The 21,288-nt window shown below is 52.1% G+C and overlaps 1 protein-coding gene across 29 annotated transcripts in view, besides 3 other annotated features; it reads right to left on the bottom strand.

The window, feature by feature from the left end:
• MAPT (microtubule associated protein tau) overlaps positions 1,459–21,288 on the bottom strand; it is a 133,781-nt gene continuing 113,951 nt past the window's right edge. For 14 of the 29 annotated variants that reach the window (XM_005257362.5, XM_005257367.5, NM_001123066.4 and 11 more), the window contains 4 exons: positions 19,391–19,483; positions 15,469–15,550; positions 11,063–11,175; positions 1,459–5,837 (listed from right to left, as the gene is read on the bottom strand). In XM_005257362.5, coding sequence (XP_005257419.1) covers positions 5,622–5,837; positions 11,063–11,175; positions 15,469–15,550; positions 19,391–19,483 — 504 coding nt within the window. In that variant the 3' untranslated portion in view covers positions 1,459–5,621. The remainder of the gene's footprint in view (positions 5,838–11,062; positions 11,176–15,468; positions 15,551–19,390; positions 19,484–21,288) is intronic. The other 15 variants (NR_165166.1, NM_001377268.1, XM_005257365.5 and 12 more) reach the window with 2 other exon arrangements.
• Positions 4,438–5,055: an enhancer, noted in NCBI's record as "H3K4me1 hESC enhancer chr17:44102104-44102721 (GRCh37/hg19 assembly coordinates)". NCBI's record gives its function as "activates a minimal SCP1, AML or CMV promoter by ChIP-STARR-seq in naive H9 embryonic stem cells {active_cell/tissue: H9 hESC(naive)}" and the evidence as "EXISTENCE:reporter gene assay evidence [ECO:0000049][PMID:30033119]".
• Positions 5,673–6,291: an enhancer, noted in NCBI's record as "H3K4me1 hESC enhancer chr17:44100868-44101486 (GRCh37/hg19 assembly coordinates)". NCBI's record gives its function as "activates a minimal SCP1, AML or CMV promoter by ChIP-STARR-seq in naive H9 embryonic stem cells {active_cell/tissue: H9 hESC(naive)}" and the evidence as "EXISTENCE:reporter gene assay evidence [ECO:0000049][PMID:30033119]".
• Positions 19,663–20,166: an enhancer, noted in NCBI's record as "H3K4me1 hESC enhancer chr17:44086993-44087496 (GRCh37/hg19 assembly coordinates)". NCBI's record gives its function as "activates a minimal SCP1, AML or CMV promoter by ChIP-STARR-seq in primed H9 embryonic stem cells {active_cell/tissue: H9 hESC(primed)}" and the evidence as "EXISTENCE:reporter gene assay evidence [ECO:0000049][PMID:30033119]".

The raw sequence follows: 21,288 nt of genomic DNA, 5'->3' as shown, positions 1-21,288 counted from the left end.
TCTCCATTCTGTCTTGTGGGAACGCCGCAGGTTGATCTGATGGCCACCAGAGAGAGAATGGTGGTGGCTTTTCACTGAGGGTAAGGGCTGCCAGGAGGAGAGGGGATCTGCATTGATCATCTCTTTTTTCTTTTTGTTGAGTGAAAGCAGTTGATGCACTTTCTCTCTAGTGAAGTCAGCTGTATGATATTTTCTATCTGTTCTAAGTTGCTCTTTAAAGGAGATTTTGCTTCTCACTGTTAAATTTTTCTGAGGTTTGGTGGGGTCAGTGAGATACATAATTTGCTTAGAGCCTGGATTGGTTCTTGCCTGCTGCCTGAGATTATAACATCTTTCTTCTGAGGAGGTTACACGCTTTTTTTTTTTATTGTTTGAGATGGGATCTTGCTCGATTGTCCAGACTGGAGTGCAGTGGTGCAATCTTGGCTCACTGCAGCCTGGATCTCCTTCCTGGCCTCAAGAGATCCTCCCACCACAGCCTTACCAGTAGCTGGGACTGTAGGCATGTGCCACCATACCCAGCTAGTTTTCGTGGGTTTTTTGTGGAGATAGTGTCTCACTATGTAGCCTAGGCTGGTAGGTGCTTTTTTTTTGTACAAGATGAATAAGTGGGTGGGGCTGGTTCTCCCTCTGCTCTCTTCTTTGCATGGCAGTCAAGCTGAAACAGCCAGTGAGGCTGTCTCTTGTGGCTCTGAAAGCCATGCTCTCTGAGATAGCACTTCTCTTTTGCTGGCCTGTTGCTGCTTTTGTAGCTGCAGTTAAAATCTGTTTTACTTAAACATCTGCCTGCGGTGGCAAACACATCAGGAAGAGCAAAGAAAAGTAGTATTTTGAAACAATCTAAGGATTCAGTATCATGACCTTGGCATAGTTACTAAGGAATAATATGATGGATTACTGTTTTGTTTTTGTTTTCCTTTGTGGCATTGCTATGAAGATGCTATCTGGTTATCCCTATCTTGGTTTAGCAGAAATACTCCTCAATCTATAATAAGGTACCAAAGGAAAGAAGGCAGCTCTGCAAACCTAGCAGGAATCTAAGCCATTCATTAAGCTGATTGGCTTGGTGTTCTGCTCCAGCCCCAGGCCTCTGGACTAAATTTCCAGGGATGAAAGATCCCATATCCTCATCCCCAACCTTCTCAGGTTTGCATACACTGGTGCCGGTCTTGCAAACTGAGTGCTGCATCGTGAGGTCAGCCACAAGGCTTTGTATTGCCCTTTGAATGGGACTAGGATGGTTTGCCAGCATCACAAAGAAGCAACTGCAAATGAGCAAGTCTGAGAACTCTCACCTTCAGGGCCCCAGAGAGAGCTGTTAATCCTGATGTCCAGCTTTTATTAATACTATCATTTCCTGTTCTGAGCTAAATTATCTAAGGGTGCGTGGGAAAGAACTTAAAAAATAGACATTCTATATGACTTTCTTGTCCTTGGAATCCATGAATGGAGACCTTATTTAATCAGAGTAATAACTTTATTTCCAAATTCACTTTTACAGCAACAGTCAGTGTAAATCATTTGTTAAAACACACAATACACTATATAGACATTCACAGACAGAAAGCTAAGCTAAGATGATTTCATGTCCCTCCCCCCACCCTCAGAATTACCGAAGAAATCATGGGACTTGCAAGTGCCAGAAATAGTCCTGCTCAACATGGCAAACTCATGGGGCTAAGTCTATTAGGAGGTGAGGCTCTAGGCCAGTGCCCAGGGTAACCCTTTTCAAAGCTGAAGAGAAATCAGAAGTTTTATGAAGCTGCAGGTCTGTAGATGGGACACGCAGGTGATCACCTCTGCCCTCGCCCCGACCTCGTGGCTTTACTTGGAGAACAAAGATGAGGAGGGTGAAGCGAGTGATCTCAGCTCCAAAAGCACAGGCTGTGTGTCTGGAGCCAGTGTGAGAGGTGGCACAGAGGTGCCAACGGCTTAGAGGGAAGGATGCCAAGGTCTTAGGGAGGCATGATTGTGGGCTTAGGACCCCTGAAAGAGGGCAGCAGGCCAAAGCAACCAGATGTCCATATTCCTACGCCTGCACCTGGCTGGGGAGGGAATGAACTAGCCAGCTGCCTGGGAAAGCCTGTCAGTGGAAAAGAGAAACCCCAAGGGCCTCTAACTCCGTGGCTGCTCCCTCCCTCTAGCAAATGTGGTTGAAATCATGAAAAGGGTTACGAGGCAGTTTAAGTGCTGCACCCCAAGATCTCCCTTTGCCCATGTTAACTATCTTACACATTCCTCCCCCCTCCCCCCATAGCACAACAAGCAATAGCAAACAGGATACAGTCTCACCACTGAAGTCAATTTAAATGGAACTATTGATAAAGTGAGTCAGCAGCTTGAAGGAGCCGGCATACAGTATATCCTATCTAGCCCACCCAAGGACACTGGCTCTGCAGGTGGGAGAAGTGAGGGGAGGGGAGGAGTGCCCAGCCCTGGGGGGATTGTCCTCATTTAAGATCACAAGCCAGCGTGCCTTTTCAATTTATCTGCCAGCACTGATCACCCTAAACCATGATCTTAGGCTGGCCCCAAGAGCCTGCCCCACAAGGGGGAGATCCCAGAGCCTTCCGTATAAGAAGGCCCATGGTGCTGAAGAGCAGGGCACAAGAACTTCAGGAAGAGGAACCGAGGTGCGTGAAGAAATGCAGCCGAAACTGTTGGCAGTAATGAGGGGGGCATATCTCTAACCACCACCAAATCTACCCCACATTTCCTTCTCCTTCTCAGATCCCTTCAACTTAGGAGAATTGCTGGGACTCAGCGAACGGCAGGGAGGCTCTTGGTGGAGAGTTCTGGGCCCAGAGACTTCCTTTCAGGTAAAGCTCTAGCTGCACACGAAGCTGCCAGCCCCAGGGGAGGCCCTGGATTTCTACTGCCAAGTCCCTCAGGGTTGCCTTTAACTGTACCCAAACCAGAAGTGGCAGAATTGGGCCTGAGGCTGCTGAGTTTCTTTAGGCAGCAATGTTTTGCAAAGGCGGCTTCCCTTTTCTCATGGCAGCAGATGGAGTTTGTGCAAGGTCAGCGGGCTGAGGTGCTCTGGTCAAGGCTTTGGGAACAGTGTCTCCTGACTTGTCAAGTCATCCTTCCTCAGGCAGGCAGCTTGGGCCTCTAGAGCAGATCCAGGACAGGCAATTCATCCCAATCCCTGCTGTGGTCGCAGGGCCCTTGGTGGGAGGCTGCGCTGCCCCTCCAGAGGGCGAGCTTGGAGAGGAACCCAGTCTGAGGGGTGGCTGAGGCTCACGGAGCTTCTGGGAGCTGCAGATCCCCCCAGCTGGCAGTGGCTTCCTTTTTCTTGTGATGCAGGAGTTGTAAGCCTCCTTTGGGACTGCCATGAGACTTCGGGCTATGACCAGAGAGAACCATCCTCGCGCCGCAAGCCAGACCAGCCACAAGACCTAGTCTGTGCCCTGACACAGGGAGCCCCAAGGGGAAGTAGGGAAGGGGACATCATCGCTTCAGTCCTAATCCTGTGCTTCAGGCCTTCGTCACAGCTGAACGGCCTCCTTAGCTGCTAGAAGCTGGTCTCTGTTGGGTCCCAGGTGCTGAGGAAAGCCTTTCAAAACTTGGGAGGCCCCAGCAGGGTGGCACCACACAGGCCACACGAGTCCCAGTGTGGGGGTGAGAGACACCTCGTGAGGGTGGGTTAGAAACCTCTTTACAAGCATTTCAAGATACATGCGTCCTTTTTTTTTTTTTTTTTTCTTTTCACTATCATAGTCACTCTGGTGAATCCAAGCATAAACAGACAAATCCAACTACAACTCAACAGGGTGCAGATGGGGAGGGCAGGGCAACATCTATGTATATGTTCAGCTGCTCCAGCAGAACAGACAGCATGGCTTCCAGCTGGGACTGGGGGAAAAGAACCATTTCCAAGGGGGTGTGTTCCCCTTTGTCGGGTGTGGAGGGCTGATACTATGCATGTGGAGCTGAGCAGCGGGCTGGGCTGTCTGGGAGGTTGGCAGCTACAAGCTAGGGTGCAAGTGGGGGACAGCGGGACTGTGGGCCTGCCCTGGGTGCCTTGCCCTTCCATCCTGGTGCCACCACTGACAACCAAGACACCCAGCCTGCTGCTGTGGGCTCAGCACAGGAAGGGGCCAGGCCTTCTCAGGGGAAAGGGCTCTCTCCATGTCAACAAGGCAGAAACACCTAGGGTCACAGCTGAGCAGTGCCCTGGCTCACATCTGTGACGGGAGGAGGAGACAGGGAACCGAATCAGATCATGAGATTCGTGGTGAGGGTCCCAGTTGGATGAGTGGAACTGAGAGTGAGAGGCTGGGGTCCCACTCTTGTGCCTGGACTTTGCCTTCCCTTAATTTCACCCTCAGTATGGAGTAGGTACCTCCTGCAACCAACCAGGGTCATTACTGAGAAGGGGTGGTGAGGCTGGGAATTCGGGACATTGTGACGTGTGATGAGGGGTATAGGCAGTGATTGGGCTCTCACGGCAGACAACAGCACAGCGGCGCAGACGGGGTGACTGCAGTGGCCGTGGGAAGGACAGGGGGCTCGGGACCTGCCTCCCAGACCCCCACACACTCCAGAGATGCCAGTGGCCCAGGCTTGGAAACGGGTGGACGTCTCCCAAGAGGCACAAGTCCTTACAAAGAGAACTGGTTAGCCCTAAAGTCCCAGGTCTGCAAAGTGGCCAAAATCATGGCAGCAGTTCCAACCTTCAGAACTCAATAAAACAGGGTTTCTGTGGAGCAGAGGGAAGCCCCTCAACTCAGGCCCCCTACCCTGCAGGGAGGGAGGAAGAGGCCAGCGCTCTCAAGACATCAAGGTCAGTCTTTTCTAAGGAGGTCATCCACGAAGTGCCACCCTCCTGCCAGCTTGCCTTCTCTTTTTACCCGCTGTCCCTTCTCCCACAGGCTGCCCTGCAGAGGGTGGCACACTGACCCACAGCAGGCCCCCACCCCCGGCCACCAAGGACAGGCGGCCGCTCAGACGCTGCAGGTGGCATAGGCCTTGGCTCTCCCAGCGGCAAGGAGGGGGATGTCTACTCTCCAGCACGTGGCTTCCTCTCCCACTCCCACTTCTTGTGCTTCCTCTCCCCTCTGCCCAGCCCCTGCCTCGGCCTCCCCCGTGGCCTCCCGCCCCACCCCAACCCCCGTCACACTCACACAAGGTTGACATCGTCTGCCTGTGGCTCCACGAACACACCAAGTTTCAAATCCTTTGTTGCTGCCACTGCCTCTGTGACACCCCCACAACAGGGCCAGAGGTGGTTGGCACCCCCAGTCCCTTGAAATCCCCCAGAAGCAGCTTTCAGAGCCTCTCCTTCTCCCTCTTCTACATGGAGGGGGAAGAAAAAAGAATCAAAAGGAATTGCCTGAGGAAATGTTGGATGTGGCCATGTTTTTGAATGTTTTTTTTTAAATATTTTATTACTAGCCCACCCATCAATTTGGAAAGATGAAATTTGCTCTTACTCCCATCACTGATTTTGAAGTCCCGAGCCAAAGCCGAGTGACAAAAGCAGGTTAAGTGATTAACCAATTAACCGAACTGCGAGGAGCAGCTGGGGGCAGAGGGCGGGGGCCGGGTCATTATTCTTTTTTTTTCCACACTCTCTCATTCTCTCCTCTCCACAATTATTGACCGCCCCAGGGGCCTGATCACAAACCCTGCTTGGCCAGGGAGGCAGACACCTCGTCAGCTAGCGTGGCGAGCTGGGGCGAGTCTACCATGTCGATGCTGCCGGTGGAGGAGACATTGCTGAGATGCCGTGGAGACGTGTCCCCAGACACCACTGGCGACTTGTACACGATCTCCGCCCCGTGGTCTGTCTTGGCTTTGGCGTTCTCGCGGAAGGTCAGCTTGTGGGTTTCAATCTGCAAGAAGAGGAAGGGAGGGAGGGTGAGATGAAGTGCCAGAGAAAGACCAGCCCTGCCAACTGCCCTGCCAGGCCTGGCCCAGAGTGCCAGGGACTGTTTTTTGTTTGTTTTTGAGACAGGGTCTTGCTCTATCGCCCAGGCTAGAGTGCGGTGGCACAATCTCACCTCACTGCAGCCTTGACCTCCCAGGCTCAGGTGATTCTCCCACCTCAGCCTCCCGAGTAGCTGGGATTACAGGTGCATGCCACCACACCTGGCTAATTTTTTGTATTTTTAATAGAAACGGGGTTTTGCTATGTTGCCCAGGCTGGTCTTGAACTCCTGGACGCAAGCAATCTGCCCGCCTCAGCCTCTCAGAGTGCTGCCATTACAGGCGTGAGCCACTGCGCCTGGCCAGGAGCTGTTGTTTTTATTGTCTTCCAATTGGTAATACCTGTGCCCACTCCTTCCCTGACCTGCCTCCCAGGCACCCAGGTACCCTCCCCAGAGACAGTGATCATTTTAAGTTTCTTGTGTACCCTCCAGAGATATTCCACACATAAACAAACACGTGTGAGTGTATAGATACACAGGCTGCTTAGTATTCCGTCGCCACGGATGTACCAAAAGGCATCTACTCCTCTGTGGATGGATGTGTAGGCTGCTCCCGCCTTTAGTGATTACAGGCAATGGTGTGTATGAACAACCTCAGATAAATAAACCCGTATGAACATCATGTCACACACGTGTAAGTGGGTCCTAGAAGTGAAGCTCTTAGGTCAAAAGGCATGCACATTTTATTTTAATAGATATTGCCAGATTGCAAAGGAAAATGTGGAAGGAGAAGCTGGAGAAGATCAAGGATGTCTCCCACAGCCACTGATGCCCAGACATGAGCCACACATTCCTCCTGTTTGCCAGTGACTGATGAGTTTGGAGGGGCAGCAACTGTGGGCAACACTGGCAGGTGGGCCACAAAACATGACATGACAAAGGCCTTTTTATGTGTGGATGGGTGGATGGATGACTGTCTAGCGACTTATCTATCCATCTATTTATCTATCTATCTATCTATCAATCATCTACCTATCTACTTGCCCAGGCTGGCCTCAAATTCCTGGGCTCAAGCAATCTTCCCACCTTAACCTCCAGAGCAACTGGGACTACAGGCTCATGCCATCGTGCCTGGCTGAAGCCCTTTTGAAAGTAGAGAAACACATGACCTAGCCAGGAGTCCCAAAGGATACCAGGAAACACAGAAGCAGAAAGTGTTCACTGGAGAAGTGAGCAGTGCACAGCAATTCCTGATGACCCTGAAGTGGCCGACACGGTCATTCTCAGCCCTTTTTGGGTCCTAGGCTCTTTGAGCATCTGGTAAAGCCAAAAATATGTGTGCACATGTCCATCCACACTCACACACAGCCATTTTCCATATAATTTTAGGAGTCCATGGATGCGGGGTGAAGGGCCCCTATTGCAGGGGCTTGAATGGGCGTAGAGAAAACCAGGTTCGCATTTAAGCTAGATGCATATTTTGTTCATTTGGGGTCACTACTTTGAAAAAAGGATTGTTCTCTATTACTGTATACTGTATTTTATCTTTTTTTTTTTTTTTTTTTTGAGACAAAGATTCACCTTGTCACCCACGCTGGAGTGCAGTGGCACGATCTCAGCTCACTGCAACCTCCGCCTCCGGGATCAAGCAATTCTCCTGCCTCGGCCTCCCAAGTAGCTGGGACTACAGGTGTGTGCCACCACACCCAGCTAATTTTTGTATTTTTTGTAGAGATGGGATTTGGCTGTGTTGGCCAGGTTGGTCTTGAACTCCTGATTTCAGGTGATCTGCCTGCCTTGGCCTCCCAAAGTGCTGGGGTTACAGGCATGAGCCACCATGCCTGACCTGTTACTGTATTTTCTTGAAAGACCATTTAATACAGGCTTTGATAAAAATATTTATGTTAATGTTTTTTGAAGTGTTTTTTAAGACATTCCTGGGAATGTCCAAAAATCCCCAAACTGAAAGGAACCCAGGAGGCTGGTGGTGTGCCCCACTGCTTGTTAGCAATTTTTCTCAATACACTGGGAAAACAGGGGACTAATGCTGCGGGGATCCCCAGGACCAGGATGGTGTTTTCTGAGTAGGGGGCAGGGCCCTGCCTACCCTTCCTGAGCTATCACATGGACGAGTTTGAAACAGAAGGAGCCAAGAAGCTGAGACTCAGCGTGGCTCTAACTCAGGTTCTTAGAGGACTGCAACGCACCAGGAACCTTCCAGAACATTGTCTTTTTTGGGTCTCACAACCACCCCGGGACGTAGGTACAGCATTTCCATTTCATCTTGCTGAAGGAGAAACTGAGGCTGAGAGGATTTGCGGATCTTGACTTTCAAAGCAGAGTCAAGCCCAGAGCTTTTCCTAACACAGAGAAGCTTCCAGAGACTGTGAGGGGCCTCCTTTCACCCAGGAAATCACCAATGCTCAGGCCCTATCCAGACCCACTCAGTCAGACTGTGGGGATGGGGCCAGGCCCAGATATCTTTAAAGTGCCCCGAGGCTGGGAGGCCCTGCCTTAGACCAGGGGAGGCCTGGGGTTAGAAACAGCAGAGAAGCTTACTGCTTCCCCAGATAACTGGACCTGGCCCCCACATCTCTTGAGGCGGACAGCCTCCTGGTCCCTCCTCGTTTTCTCACTTTGGATAGCGACCCAGCCGCTGAAAAGTATCCCTGTCGCGCAACCCGAGAGCTCTCGGCCAGCTACGGGCCAGTGCCCTCCCCTGCCTCAGGGCGTGTCTGGAGGTAAGGTCTGCCCCAGGCCACAGTTCGCAGCATCTGCAGCAAGGCTGTATCAGCAAACCCTTCTCACAAAACTACATTGTTAGACATTAATCACAAATACAAGATGAGGGTGCCCATCTGTTCAGAACCAGAGGCAGTGGCAAGAGGGGAGGGCGGGGACTGGCCAGGGCAGGGGTCTCTCAGCTGCTACTTGAGTGGCCTGGTGGAAAGACGGCCCGGCTGCCACTTCCACCCAACTGGGCCACCATGAGAAGCATACTTTCTCATGCTGACTTGGGTCTCAGACCCTATACCCTTTCTGGGACGCCCTGATATGGTTTGGCTGTGTCCCCACCCAAATGTCATCTTGAATTGTAGTTCCCACAATTCCTACATGTTGTGGGAGGGACCTGGTGGGAGGTAATTGAATCATAGAGGAGGGTCTTTCCCGTGCTGTTCTCATGATAGTGAATAAGTCTCCCGAGATCTGATGGTTTTATAAAGGGGAGTTCCCCTGCACAAGCTCTTTTCTCTTGTCTGCCACCGTGTGAGACAAGCCTTTCACCTTCCACCATGATTGTCAGGCCTCCCCAGTCACGTGGAACTGTGAGTCCATCAGACCTCTATCTTTTAGACTGCCCAGTATCGGGTATGTCTTCATCAGCGGCGTGAAAACGGACTAATACAATCCCTTTTCCCTCCACCACTCCCCAGTCAGCTGCTGGGAGACCCTGAAGGTTGGAAAGTGAGCCACTCCCAGAACTTCAGGCTGGGTGTGGGCCTGAAACCCCAGAGGGTGCTTGGCTGCGCTTCTGCAGAAGAGAAGCAGCAGCTACCAGACCGCATCCTGTGCCAGGCCTAGACAGAGCTCACCCAGCGCCACACACACCCTCACTGCACAGACACCCACAGCAAGACCTAGAGACTAGAAACTGCTGGGGACACCAAGGCCCCAGCAGCCTCATGTGGATACTTCCAAGACAGGCAGGCAGAGGCTTTGCTGAAATCAGGATTTCGGCATCATTGTTTTGCTCTAAGTGCCTAGTAACCCATTTAGAAAATTAGGTTATGTTCCCATGACTTGTTCTTGGTGCGCCACAGCTGACTGGGGATGTCCACTTCCTTTTTTAGTTGCCTGCAAACATCAGGGCCTAGGACAGTGGTTCTCGCTTTTTTTTTTTTTTTTGTGAGATGGAATCTCACTCTGTTGCCCAGGCTGGAGTGCAGTGGCACGATCTCGGCTCACTACAACCTCTGTCCCCTGGGTTCAAGCAATTCTCATGCCTCAGCCTCCCAAGTAGCTGGGATTACAGGCACGCACCACCACACCCAGCTAACTTTTGTATTTTTAGTAGAGATGGGGTTTTACCATGTTGGCCAGGCTGGTCTTGAACTCCTGACCTCAAGCCATCTGCCCACCTTCGCCTCCCAAGGTGCTGGGATTACAGGCATGAGCCACCGCACCCAGCCAGTTCTCACTTTTGACTGCACTGAAGAATCACCTGGGAGCTTTAAAAACTGCAGTGACTTAGGCCGAGCACTGTGGCTCACACCTGTAATCCCAGCACCTTGGGAGGCCGAGGTGGGCATATTGCTTGACCTCAGGAGTTCAAGACCAGCCTGGGCAACGTGGCAAAACCTCGTCTCCACAGGAAATACAAAATATTTAGCCAGGCATAGTGGCAGGTACCTGTAGTTCCAGCTACCTGGGAGGCTGAGGTGGGAAGATCACCTGACCCAGGGAGGTAGAGGCTGCAGTGAGCCGAGATCATGCCAGTGCACTCCAGCCTGGATGACAGAGGGAGACTGATATGGTTTGGCTGTGTCCCCACCCAAATCTCATCTTGAATTGTAGCTCCCATAATTCCATGTGTCATGGGAGGGACCCAGTGGGAGGTAACTGAATCATGGGGGCGGGTCTTTCCCATGCTGTTCTCATGATAGTGAATAAATCTCATGAGGTCTGATGGTTTTATAAATGGGAGTTCCCCTGCACACGCTCTCTTGCCTGTCGCCATGTAAGAAATGCCTTTGCTTCTCCTTTGCCTTCCGCCATGATTTTGAGGCCTCCCCAGCCATGTGGAACTGTGAGTCCATTAAACCTCTTTCCTTTATAAATTACCCAGTCTTGGGTATGTCTTTATTAGCAGTGTGAGAATGGACTAATACAGAGACCCTGCCTTAAATACATAAAAATAAATAAAAACAAAAACTCCAGCAACCGAGCTGCCCCTGAGACCCATTGGTCAGCCTCTCCAGGTTGGGGCCCAGGTGTGAAACGTGCTAAAGCTCCAGGTGATTGAGACAGGCAGTGGAGACCCACTGGATGCTGCTGAGGGCCCACATCCAGCCAGTCAACACAGAAGCCTCTGTTTTCCTCCTCTGGGAACTGGACCAGCCTTTGTCCACTCAACTTGATTAATGCCCATATACCCAAGGGCAGCATCCAACCCACCCTACCCCCTTTACCTTTTTATTTCCTCCGCCAGGGACGTGGGTGATATTGTCCAGGGACCCAATCTTCGACTGGACTCTGTCCTTGAAGTCAAGCTTCTCAGATTTTACTTCCACCTGGCCACCTCCTAGAACACAACACACACAAGAGCATCTTGCCATCATCTTCTGTGGTTCTGTGGACTTAACATACATTACATGAGGTCTGCAGTCTACAGGGCAAAGTGCCAGGGGCTGCTGGGGCACAGCAAAAATTAGATTGGGTGCCACTGCTCTGGAGGGAAGAAGACAATGACAGGACTTCCAGGTTTGCAGCAGGACTTGAACCAGGGCCAAGCAAGTGGTTCCAAGTAGAGACCAGCCTTTAGAAGTAGGTAAGACTCCTTTAGAATGGTGTTTGGATACAAGTAAGTCCTTGCAAAGCTCTTGAAAATAGTTTGCTTCATCTATATAATCAAAGTGTGCATCAAATATTTACACTGTAAACTCTTCTTCTTGAGATACTGCAAAAGTAAATGACAGCTCAGCCCAGGAAAAATTACTCTAAATATACATTGGTTGGCTTCCAGTAAGTAAAGTCTGTTTTTTTTTTTTTTTTCTTGAGACAGAGTCTTGCTCTGTCGCCCAGGCTGGAGTGCAGTGGCATGGTCTCTGCTCACTGCAAGCTCCGCCTCCCGGGTTCATGCCATTCTCCTGCCTCAGCCAACCGAGTGGCTGGGACTACAGGTGCCTGCCACCACGCCCAGCTAATTTTTTGTATTTTCAGTAGAGATGGGGTTTCACTGTGTTAGCCAGGATGGTCTCAATCTCCTGACCTCCTGATCTGCCTGCCTCGGCCTCCCAAAGTGCTGGGATTACAGGCATGAGCCACTGCGCCCGGCCCATTAAGTGAAGTCTTTTCTATATCAACATCCTGTAAACCATGACCCCACAAGACCTTGGAATTAAATTGAATGTCAAAATGCACACTAAATAAGAACCCTTTCAGGCCGGGCGTGGTGGCTCATGCCTGTAATCCTAGCACTTTGGGAGGCCGAGGCAGGTGGATCACCTGAGGTCAGGAGTTTGAGACCAGTCTGACCAACATGGTGAAACCTCGTCTCTACTAAAAAAAAAATACAAAAATTAGTTGAGCATGGTGGCGGGCACCTGTAATCCCAGCTACTTGGGAAGCTGAGACAGGAGAATTGCTTGAATCCAGGAGGTGGAGGTTGCAGTGAGCCGAGATTGTGCCATTACATTCCAGCCTGGGCAATGAGAGTACAACTCCATCTCAAAAAAAAAAAAAAAAAAAAAAAAAAAAAATTAGCCAGGCATGTTGGCATGTGCCTGTAATCTCAGCTACTCAGGAGGCTGAGGCAGGAGAATCACTTGAACCCAGGAGGCGGAGGTTGCAGTGAGCCGAGATCGCACCACTGCACTCCAGCCTGGGAACAGAAGAAGGGTCCCTCTCTAAATAAATAAATAAGGACCCTTTCTCCCTCCTGACGCTTGACACCATGCCCAAGCATGGGACAAGGCATGAGGAAGAGACAGCCCACAGGACTTTCCAGGGAAAGATGACAAAAGCAGCTCCCAGCTGCTCTCACAGCTGGGGTGGTGGCACCACTTGTGGAATACTTTCCACAGGGAGACTAAATCCCACAAAGTGTCCAAGGGAGCCAGAAAATAAGGAGTCACATTCTAGACTGAACTTCTCATGGCCTTCTCTTCCCACAGTAAGGGTTCAAGTAAAAATCAGCCCTGAATAGGGCCTAAGGCAGAAGTCCCCGCTCTGGACTCTCGGGGTGGGGTGACAGAATCTATAGCTGTGTCGTCCGATATGGCAGCCACTCTTCCTCAACTGTACCAGCCATGTTTCAAGTGCCACATGTAGCTAGTGGCTACTATACTGGACAGCACAGATACAGAATATTTCCATCACTGCAGAAAGAAGTATAGACAGCACTGATTTCTTTCTTTCTTTCTTTCTTTTTTTGCTGAGTCTCACTCTGTCACCTAGGCTGGTATGCAGTGGCGCGATCTTGGCTCACTGCAAGCTCCGCCTCCCAGGTTCATGCCATTCTCCTGCCTCAGCCTCCCAAGTAGTTGGGACTACAGGTGCCTGCCACCATGCCCGGCTAATTTTTTGTATTTTTAGTAGAGACAGGGTTTCACTGTGTTAGCCAGGATGGTCTTGATCTCCTGACCTCGTGATCCGCCTGCCTTGGCCTCCCAAAGTGCTGCGATTACAGGCATGAGCCACCGCGCCTGGCCGACAGCACTAATTTCTACACAGTGTGAGGTGGGGAGGGGAGTAAGCATGGTTCCAGTAGGATCACTTTCTTTTCTTTTTCTTTCTTTTTTTTTTTTTTTGAGACGGAGTCTCACTCCCTCACCCAAGCTGGAGTGCATTGGCACGATCTTGGCTCACTCAGCCTCTGCCTCCTGGGTTCAAGTGATTCTCCTGCTTCAGCCTCCCAAGTAGCTGGGATTACAGGCATGTGCCACCATGCCTGGCTAGTTTTTGTATTTTTAGTAGACATGGGGTTTCGCCATGTCGGCCAGGCTGATCTCCAACTCCTGACCTCAGGCAATCTGCCCACCCCCGCCTCCCAAGGTGCTGGGATTATAGGTGTGGGCCACCACAGCCGGCCCAGAGCATCATTTTCTGTTTAAACAAAGTCACAGAGGGGACATGGCAGTGACCCAGGGTTCCTGTGCTGTAGCTGCTGCCGATGGTGAAGTGTCTCCCATGTTGGCTGGGGACCAAGCTCATGCATCCATATAGCTGAACCTCGAGTCTGAGAGGCCCTGTGGACAGCTTGCAGGGAGAACAACGGGTTAGGGGTTAAGGCCAGCATCTCGCCTCCCTCTTCACCTTAAAAAATATATTTTTTTAATTTTTGTGGGTACATAGTTAGGTGTATATATTTATGGGGCTCATGAGATGTTTTGATACAGACACACAATGTATAATAATCACATCATGGAAAATGGGGTATCCATCCCCTCAAACATTTGTCCTTTGTGTTACAAACAATCCATTTATATTCTTTTAGGTTTTTGTTGTGTGTTTGTTTTTGTTTTTGTTTTTGTTTTTGTTTTGAGACGGAGTCTCACTCTCTCGCCCAGGCTGGAGTGCAGTGGCACAATCTCGGCTCACTGCAAGCTCCGCCTCCCAGGTTCATGCCATTCTCCTGCCTCAGCCTTGTGAGTAGCTGGGACTATAGGCACCTGCCACCACGCCTGGCTAATTTTTTGTATTTTTAGTAGAGACCGGGTTTCACCGTGTTAGCCAGGATGGTCTATATCTCCTGACCTTGTGATCCGCTCGCCTCGGCCTCCCAAAGTGCTGGGATTACAGGCGTGAGCCACCGTGCCCAGCTGTATTTTTATTTTTATTTTTGAGACGGAGTTTCACTGTCACCCAGGCTGGAGTGCAGTGGCAAGATCTCGGCTCACTGCAACCTCTGCCTCCCAGGTTCAAGTGATTCTCCTGCCTCAGCCTCCCGAGTAGCTGGGATTACAGGCGCCCGCCACCATGCCTGGCTAATTTTTGTATTTTTAGTAGAGATGGGGTTTCACCATGTTGGCCAGGCTGGTCTCAAACGCCCACCTCAGCCTCCCAAAGTACTGGGATTACAGACGTAAGCCACTGCACCCGGCTATCTTTTAGTTATTTTTAAATGTACAATTAAATTATTATTGACTATAGTCACCCTGTTGCACTATCAAATACTAGGTCTTATTCTATTTTTTTTGTACCCATTGACCATCCCCCCACCATCCCCTCACTACCCTTCCCAGCCTCTGGTAACCATCCTTCTATTCTCTATCTCCTGGATCCCACAAAGAAGCGAGAACATGTGCTTTTTTTTTTTGAGACGGAGTCTCGCTCTGTCGCCCAGGCTGGAGTGCAGTGGCGCGATCTCTGCTCACTCCGCTCACTGCAAGCTCCGCCTTCCGGGTTCACGCCATTTTCCTGCCTCAGCCTCCGGAGTAGCTGGGACTACAGGCGCCCACCACCACGCCCGGCTAATTTTTTGTATTTTTAGTAGAGACGGGGTTTCACTGTGTTAGCCAGGATGGTCTCAATCTCCTGACCTCATGATCCACCCACCTTGGCCTCCCAAAGTGCTGGAATTACAGGCGTGAGCCACAGCGCCCGGCCGAGAATATGTGCTTTCTTTCTGTGCCTGCCTTATTTCACTTCACTCCCGCCTCACCTTGTCTTGGGCAGCATGGCCTGGGCAGGAGCGAGCTGGAGCCACCACGCCTCCTGGGCTCCCGCAAGTTTCACACTCAACACTTTCCTTGATGTAGGTCTACCTAAAATATCCTTTCCAGCCCCTTCTGAAGTCTGGAGCAGTTCCAGCCTCACCAGGACTCCTCCACCCCCTGCACCCTCCCGTCCCAACCCTCACCTTCCACAGGGCTACCTGGTTTATGATGGATGTTGCCTAATGAGCCACACTTGGAGGTCACCTTGCTCAGGTCAACTGGTTTGTAGACTATTTGCACCTGGAGATGAGAGAGGAGGAGAGAGAAGAGGAAAGGCAGAGAGAGAGGAAGACAGAGAGACAAAAAGGATAAAATGGGATTATTTTATTAAGGGTGTAACTCAATGAGAAGCAGCTGTGTAAGCCCAGGCCCTTATTGGACAGTGGTTCCCAGCTGCCATGAGGAGCACATCCTAGTCAGGGTGGAAAAATGTGTTGTCGAAATTCTGCCAACCCTGCCCCAGGGGAGCTGGGGACTGTGGGACTGGAGTGTCTTCAATCCCTGCAGAACAAAAGAGCCTCTGGGAAAAACAGGGACCCATTGTCATTGTGCAAGACCCAGACATTTGCTCAGCAAACGCTTAAGTGTAAAAATGTCACTCCCTTTCCTGACATGAAATTGACAGATCACAATCAGGCATGAAGAAAAAAGTGATCAATATGATGAGTATGCACAGCATCTGAAAAATCTTGCTGGAAAGGCAGGAGTGGGGTATCTGCTGGGCCTCAAAGAGGGGAGGCGCTGTGAGGGTCGATGCGTGGGCTTTATTCCAGGAAAAGCTTCCACGGACCCTGGAAAGCACTAGAGCAAAGACCATCAGTAAGCAGGACCCAGCGGAGTTCAGCAGCTCGGACGTGAGAACCAGCAGGCACCTGCACACTCAGTGTCCTGGACATTCCTGTCTTTAGCAATAGGAACAAAGCAACACCAACAGGGTGGGTAGGTGGCACAGCAGAAACCAACAGATTTAGTGTCTCAGTAAGCTCGAGCGGACGCAGACACACATGAGGAGGCCTGTGGCCTCCAGGGCACCGCTCCCTCTGGGAATGATGACCCTGAGCTGCCAGCTGATCTCAGTCAAAGAACCAGCTCCCCTGTGGGGGGCACGCTGTAGGGACTCCACAGTGGCAGACAGACAGGTCCCTTGGAGGCAGGCCTCTATGCAGCCATGGCTGTGTGGGGCCTGGGGGGCAGGTCACTGATTGACATTCCTGGAGTCCCCAGGGCCTCCAGCAGTGGCCTTGTGTGGGGTCACCTGAGGGTGCAAGGGGGCAGCCACCTCCCACCTATCAGTCAGCTCCCGAGGAAGCACCGCCCTGGAGCTTCCTGGGAGACAGCTGGCTTCATGGCTGAAGATGGTTTATCAAGGTCACCAAAAAACAAGGTGCAGGGCAGGTGGTGGTTTCTCCTTCCACTTAGGTCTAAACTGGAACCATCCCGAATTATTTTGGTGTCAGCTGGCATGTGCTCTTTATGGATGGGGAGTTAACTGGGGCAGAGATGGCTGAGACCCATGTGTGTCAGGGCGGACATGATCTGTGGCAAGGACGTTGGGGGACAGGGAGGATGGATGGCGCGCGGCCTGGCTTGGAGAGAGCTGTGCTCTGAGGCCAGCACTGAGGGGGTGGACCAGGGCCGAGGGAGGTGGGAGGACGTGCTGGTATGACCAGGGCCTCCTTCCCTCTTCCCTCTGGCCTGGGTGAGGTAACTCGTGAGAGGGGGAGGGGGGCTGGGACAGGGACCAGGGAACGGCCAGAAAGGAGAGGAGTGGATGGCAGTGGGAGCCAGGGCCGGTGGTCAGGATACCTGGAGGGCAGGGAGGGGGACAGCAGGCCCTGCAGAGCTTCCAGGGTCCAGCCAGGAGGCAGAAGGGTCCCAGGTAGAGAAGGAGCAGGGCCAGCCTGCTGGGAAGGGGCCCCCAGGCTGGGGAGAGGCTAGGGCTCAGGCCAGGGATCCAGTGCCCCCAGATGCCAGGGGCTGGCATCTCTTCTCACCAGGAGAAGGGCTTCCTGTGAAGGTGCTCAGAGGGCAGTGCTCAGCCCGGGACATCTGGTGGCTCTCTGCCAGGTCACAGGCTAGACCGCAGACAAGCAGAGCGCGGGACACAGGCTAGCCCGCAGACGAGCACAGCGCGGGTCACAGGCTAGCCCGCAGATGAACACAGCGCGGGACACACGGGCGGGCCCCAGGGAGGTCCCAGATGTCCTGGGCACTGCAGCGTCTTTGGGCATCAGCTACCCAGAGGGGTTGGCCACGCAGCCCGTGTGCACTCTCTCCCCAGCTCCGCCTCAGCAGCACAGCCTCCACCAGGGCACCAGACTTGACTTCAACCAGAAAGCACATGGCCTTCCTCCTCTGGCCGAGCTCACTTTGAGGAAGCCAGAGAACCAGGATCAAAGCTCAAACAGCTGAAAACAGCAATCCCAGGAACAAGGGCCCGGGCAGGGGTGGGGGCGGCACACACCTCTTCTGTCCCCTCACAGCAGACAAACTGGGGGGACAGGAGAGCAGGGCGTGGGAGACAGAGGAGACACTTAGCAGACACTGGTGAGGAAGCGTTAGTTAGCCCCATGCAGCAGCCGCAGGGCAAGCGCTTGCTACCTGTGGGACTCAAGGGGCCTCAGGGCAGAAGCCGGGATCCAGGTGCTCAGGGCAGGAAGCAGCAGCACATTGCAAGAATAAACCCTCTGGGCTGGATGCGGGTGGCTGCCTCAGGCCAGGCATTTTCTGGAGACAGCCCACCCCGGAGCCACAGCAGTGTCCCGGTACTGCCAGCCAGGGCCAGGTGATTGCTCTCAAAAATCAACGCCTCCCACCCCAAGGGTCTCATACGTCCAGCTCCCCAGGGTGTTAACAGTTTGCTTTCAGCTGACCAAGAGAGCTGGTGGGAGAGGAGCCTCGGGTGCCCAGTCGACATAGACCGGCCAGGGGATGATGAAGCCTCAGCTTATCGGGTGGGTCAGTTGCACTTGAGGATCTGAGTCCCGAATCTCACGGAGACACTCCACAGAAGATGCACGGAGTCCCCGGGGACATTTAGAGGAAGCCAAATCTATTTATTTTAAAATTATTATATGATTGTTTTTTGAGACAAAGTCTCACTCTGTTGCCTAGGTTGAAGTGCAGTGGCGCGATCATGGCTCCTTGCAACTTCCGCCTCCCGGACTCAGGCAATCCTCCCACCTCAGCCTCCCAAGTAGCTGGGACTACAGGTGCGTGCCACCACACCTGGCTAATTTTAATTCTTTTTGTAGACACAGGGGTCTCATTGTTGCCCAGGCTGGTCTTGAACTCCTGGGCTCAAGCGAACCTCCCGCCTTAGTCTCCCAAAGTGCTGGAATTACAGGCACGAGCCACCACTCCTGGCAAGAGGCAGCCAAATCTAAAAGGGCCAAAAGCAGCATTTCTCTGCCACACCTCAACGCTGGGCAGAGGGACCTGTCGCACTTTGGTTTGGCTCTTTGCATCTGGAGTCTCTGCCAGAGGGTGGCGCAGGCTAAGCATAAGCTGGAGGCTTAGGAATCGGCTCCTGCCTTGAACGTGTAGGAGCAGCAGCTGAGCAGGACAGTAAGACCTTGGTGTCCGCTCATCAGAACAAACGGGTCACCTGTCCACAGTGGAGCCACTCAACGTCAACCTGCCCAGGTGTCGGGGGAGGAGGCGGCAGCCCAGTCTCAGGTGCCACCACCTTCAGCCCAACTTCCAATGGGCTATGGGGCTCCTGGGGACAGGGCTGGGCATGAGTGGAAGGAGACTTTGATGGGTATTCTCAGCTTCCCAGGCAGGGTCCGGAGAGAGGGTCCGTCATCTGCCCTATTCTGTCCACACAGCCTGCGCAGGCTGGGGGACCCAGAAATGCTGGGACACCCCCTCCTAGAATATGAGGAAGGGGCTTCTGGGAACAGTGGACCGTGTGGGGGAATGTGGGGAGCCGGGCTACATTCACCCAGAGGTCGCAGCCAGATCCTGAGAGCCCAAGAAGGATTTATTCTATGCAGTGTCTCGCAAGTGTACGCACTCACACCACTTCCTAATAATTCAAGCCACAGCACGGCGCATGGGACGTGTGAAGGTACTCACACTGCCGCCTCCCGGGACGTGTTTGATATTATCCTTTGAGCCACACTTGGACTGGACGTTGCTAAGATCCAGCTTCTTATTAATTATCTGCACCTTTGGTAGCCAGAAAAAAGGATGAGTGACACGCCACCCTGGACCCGCCTGCTTGCTCGCAAGGACGCCTCCACTTTCGATGAGTGACATGCGCCACCCTGGACCCGCCTACTTGCTCGCAAGGATGCCTCCACTTTCGGACTTGGCAGAGGCAGTCTGGGGAGTGACGGGAGGTTGAGTCACATCCCAGGGGAGCTGAAGGGATAGAGGGCTGCTCTGAAGGCATCCCAGAAGTGTGAGTGATTTCCAGCGGGCTTTACGAAGCTGGGATTGCAGGTCCTCACTTCACAAAAGGATGGCATCGTGAGGCCTGAACCCCAGAGGGGAGCGTTCACCAGCCTGAGGTCAAGTGAAAAATGTGTTCGGCCACACTGACGAGTGAGTAATAGGAAGTTCCCCGGCATCTCCACTCACACCTGGCTAGACCCACCGGCACATTCCCAGAGAACTCCCTGCGGCTGTTCTCAAGCCTGCCGGGCATCAGAATCACCTGTGGATTTTTACAATCTCAGCCCCTAGCCCTGACCTAGAATTAGAATCTAGGAGTCTGGCTTCAGTCTCTCTAGTTTTGAAAAGTTCCCCTGGTGATTCTGACACACAGCCAGGTTTGAGAAGCCCTGACCCCGTAGGCAGGACACAGGCCGCTTTGTGGGGAAGACAAATGTGGGGTGTCCCTTCTGTACGAGGGCTCTGTCCCTGCAAGGGGGGGCTGTGCCTTCTCCTTCCATCCACCCACCAGCCCTCTCCCACCCACAATGCCACTAGGTGCGTAACGGAAGCTGAGCAAATGCTCCCGTGGGGCTTTTTCTCAGCTCTTCCATAAGCAGGGGTGGCCTGGATGGGTCTCCCACGACTGCATTTCTGGAAGGTTCTTTCTGCAGACACCAGGGAGGTGTGAAAATATCAGCGTTTTGATGAGAAATGATTTTTACCAATTTGCCTAAGAACTATGAAATAGAAAACCATGGTTTAGGGAGTTGGAAAAACTGGACATTTTCTCTGCCAGATCAGTGAGAACGTCTTCCTCACCCGGTGACCTTTCCTCTCAGGAACTCTGGAAACAGTGGAAACAGTGTGCTTTGGGTTTTTTGTTTTGTTTTTTTTCTTTGTGAGATAGGGTCTCACTTTGTCACCCAGGCTGGAGTGCAGTGACACCATCACGGCTCAGTGCAGCCTCGACTTCCCAGGGCTCAGGGGATTCTCCTACTTCAGCCTCCCAAGTAGCTGGGACCACAGGCACATGCCACCACACCTGGCAAATTTTTTGTATTTTTTGTAGAGACGAGGTCATGCTATGTTGTCCAGGATAGTTTGAAACTCCTGGGCTCAAGCAATCAGCCCACCTCGGCTTCCCAAAGCCGATTACAAGCGTAAGCCACCATGCCTGTAATCTCAGCACTCTGGTTTTTATTCGTCTCAGGTGTAAATAATTGCCAAGTGGTGATCCCAGTGAAGGACCAGCCGTGCCCAGGCCGCTTCCGAAATCTTGAAAATGGCACTGAGACCTCAGTGGCTCTTTTGAGAATGCTGGGTGGAAACCACTGCCCTGGAGGCCCCATCAGCCTGGGCTGTCGGATCTGGGGTTGGAACTCCAGCCTGACTTCTGGTTCATCCCGTTTTTTTTCCCCTTAATTTTACTTGTCTGAATCTTCAATAGGAATCAATATCTAACTCATTTCTTCATAATCTTTTATGTTCCTTCAAAAGACTATGTATTTTTATTAGAAAATATAACGATTTTAAAAAACAGAGCTCATCAAAGCAAAAACCGTTTTCTTACCACCCTAACACAATCACGATTGCAT

The sequence above is a fragment of the Homo sapiens genome, chromosome 17 (assembly GCF_000001405.40).
Source record: "Homo sapiens chromosome 17, GRCh38.p14 Primary Assembly".
NCBI classification, from domain to species: domain Eukaryota; kingdom Metazoa; phylum Chordata; class Mammalia; order Primates; family Hominidae; genus Homo; species Homo sapiens.
The sequence above is the reverse complement of the archived record's forward strand: the minus strand, read 5'-3'. Positions and strand labels throughout refer to the sequence as shown.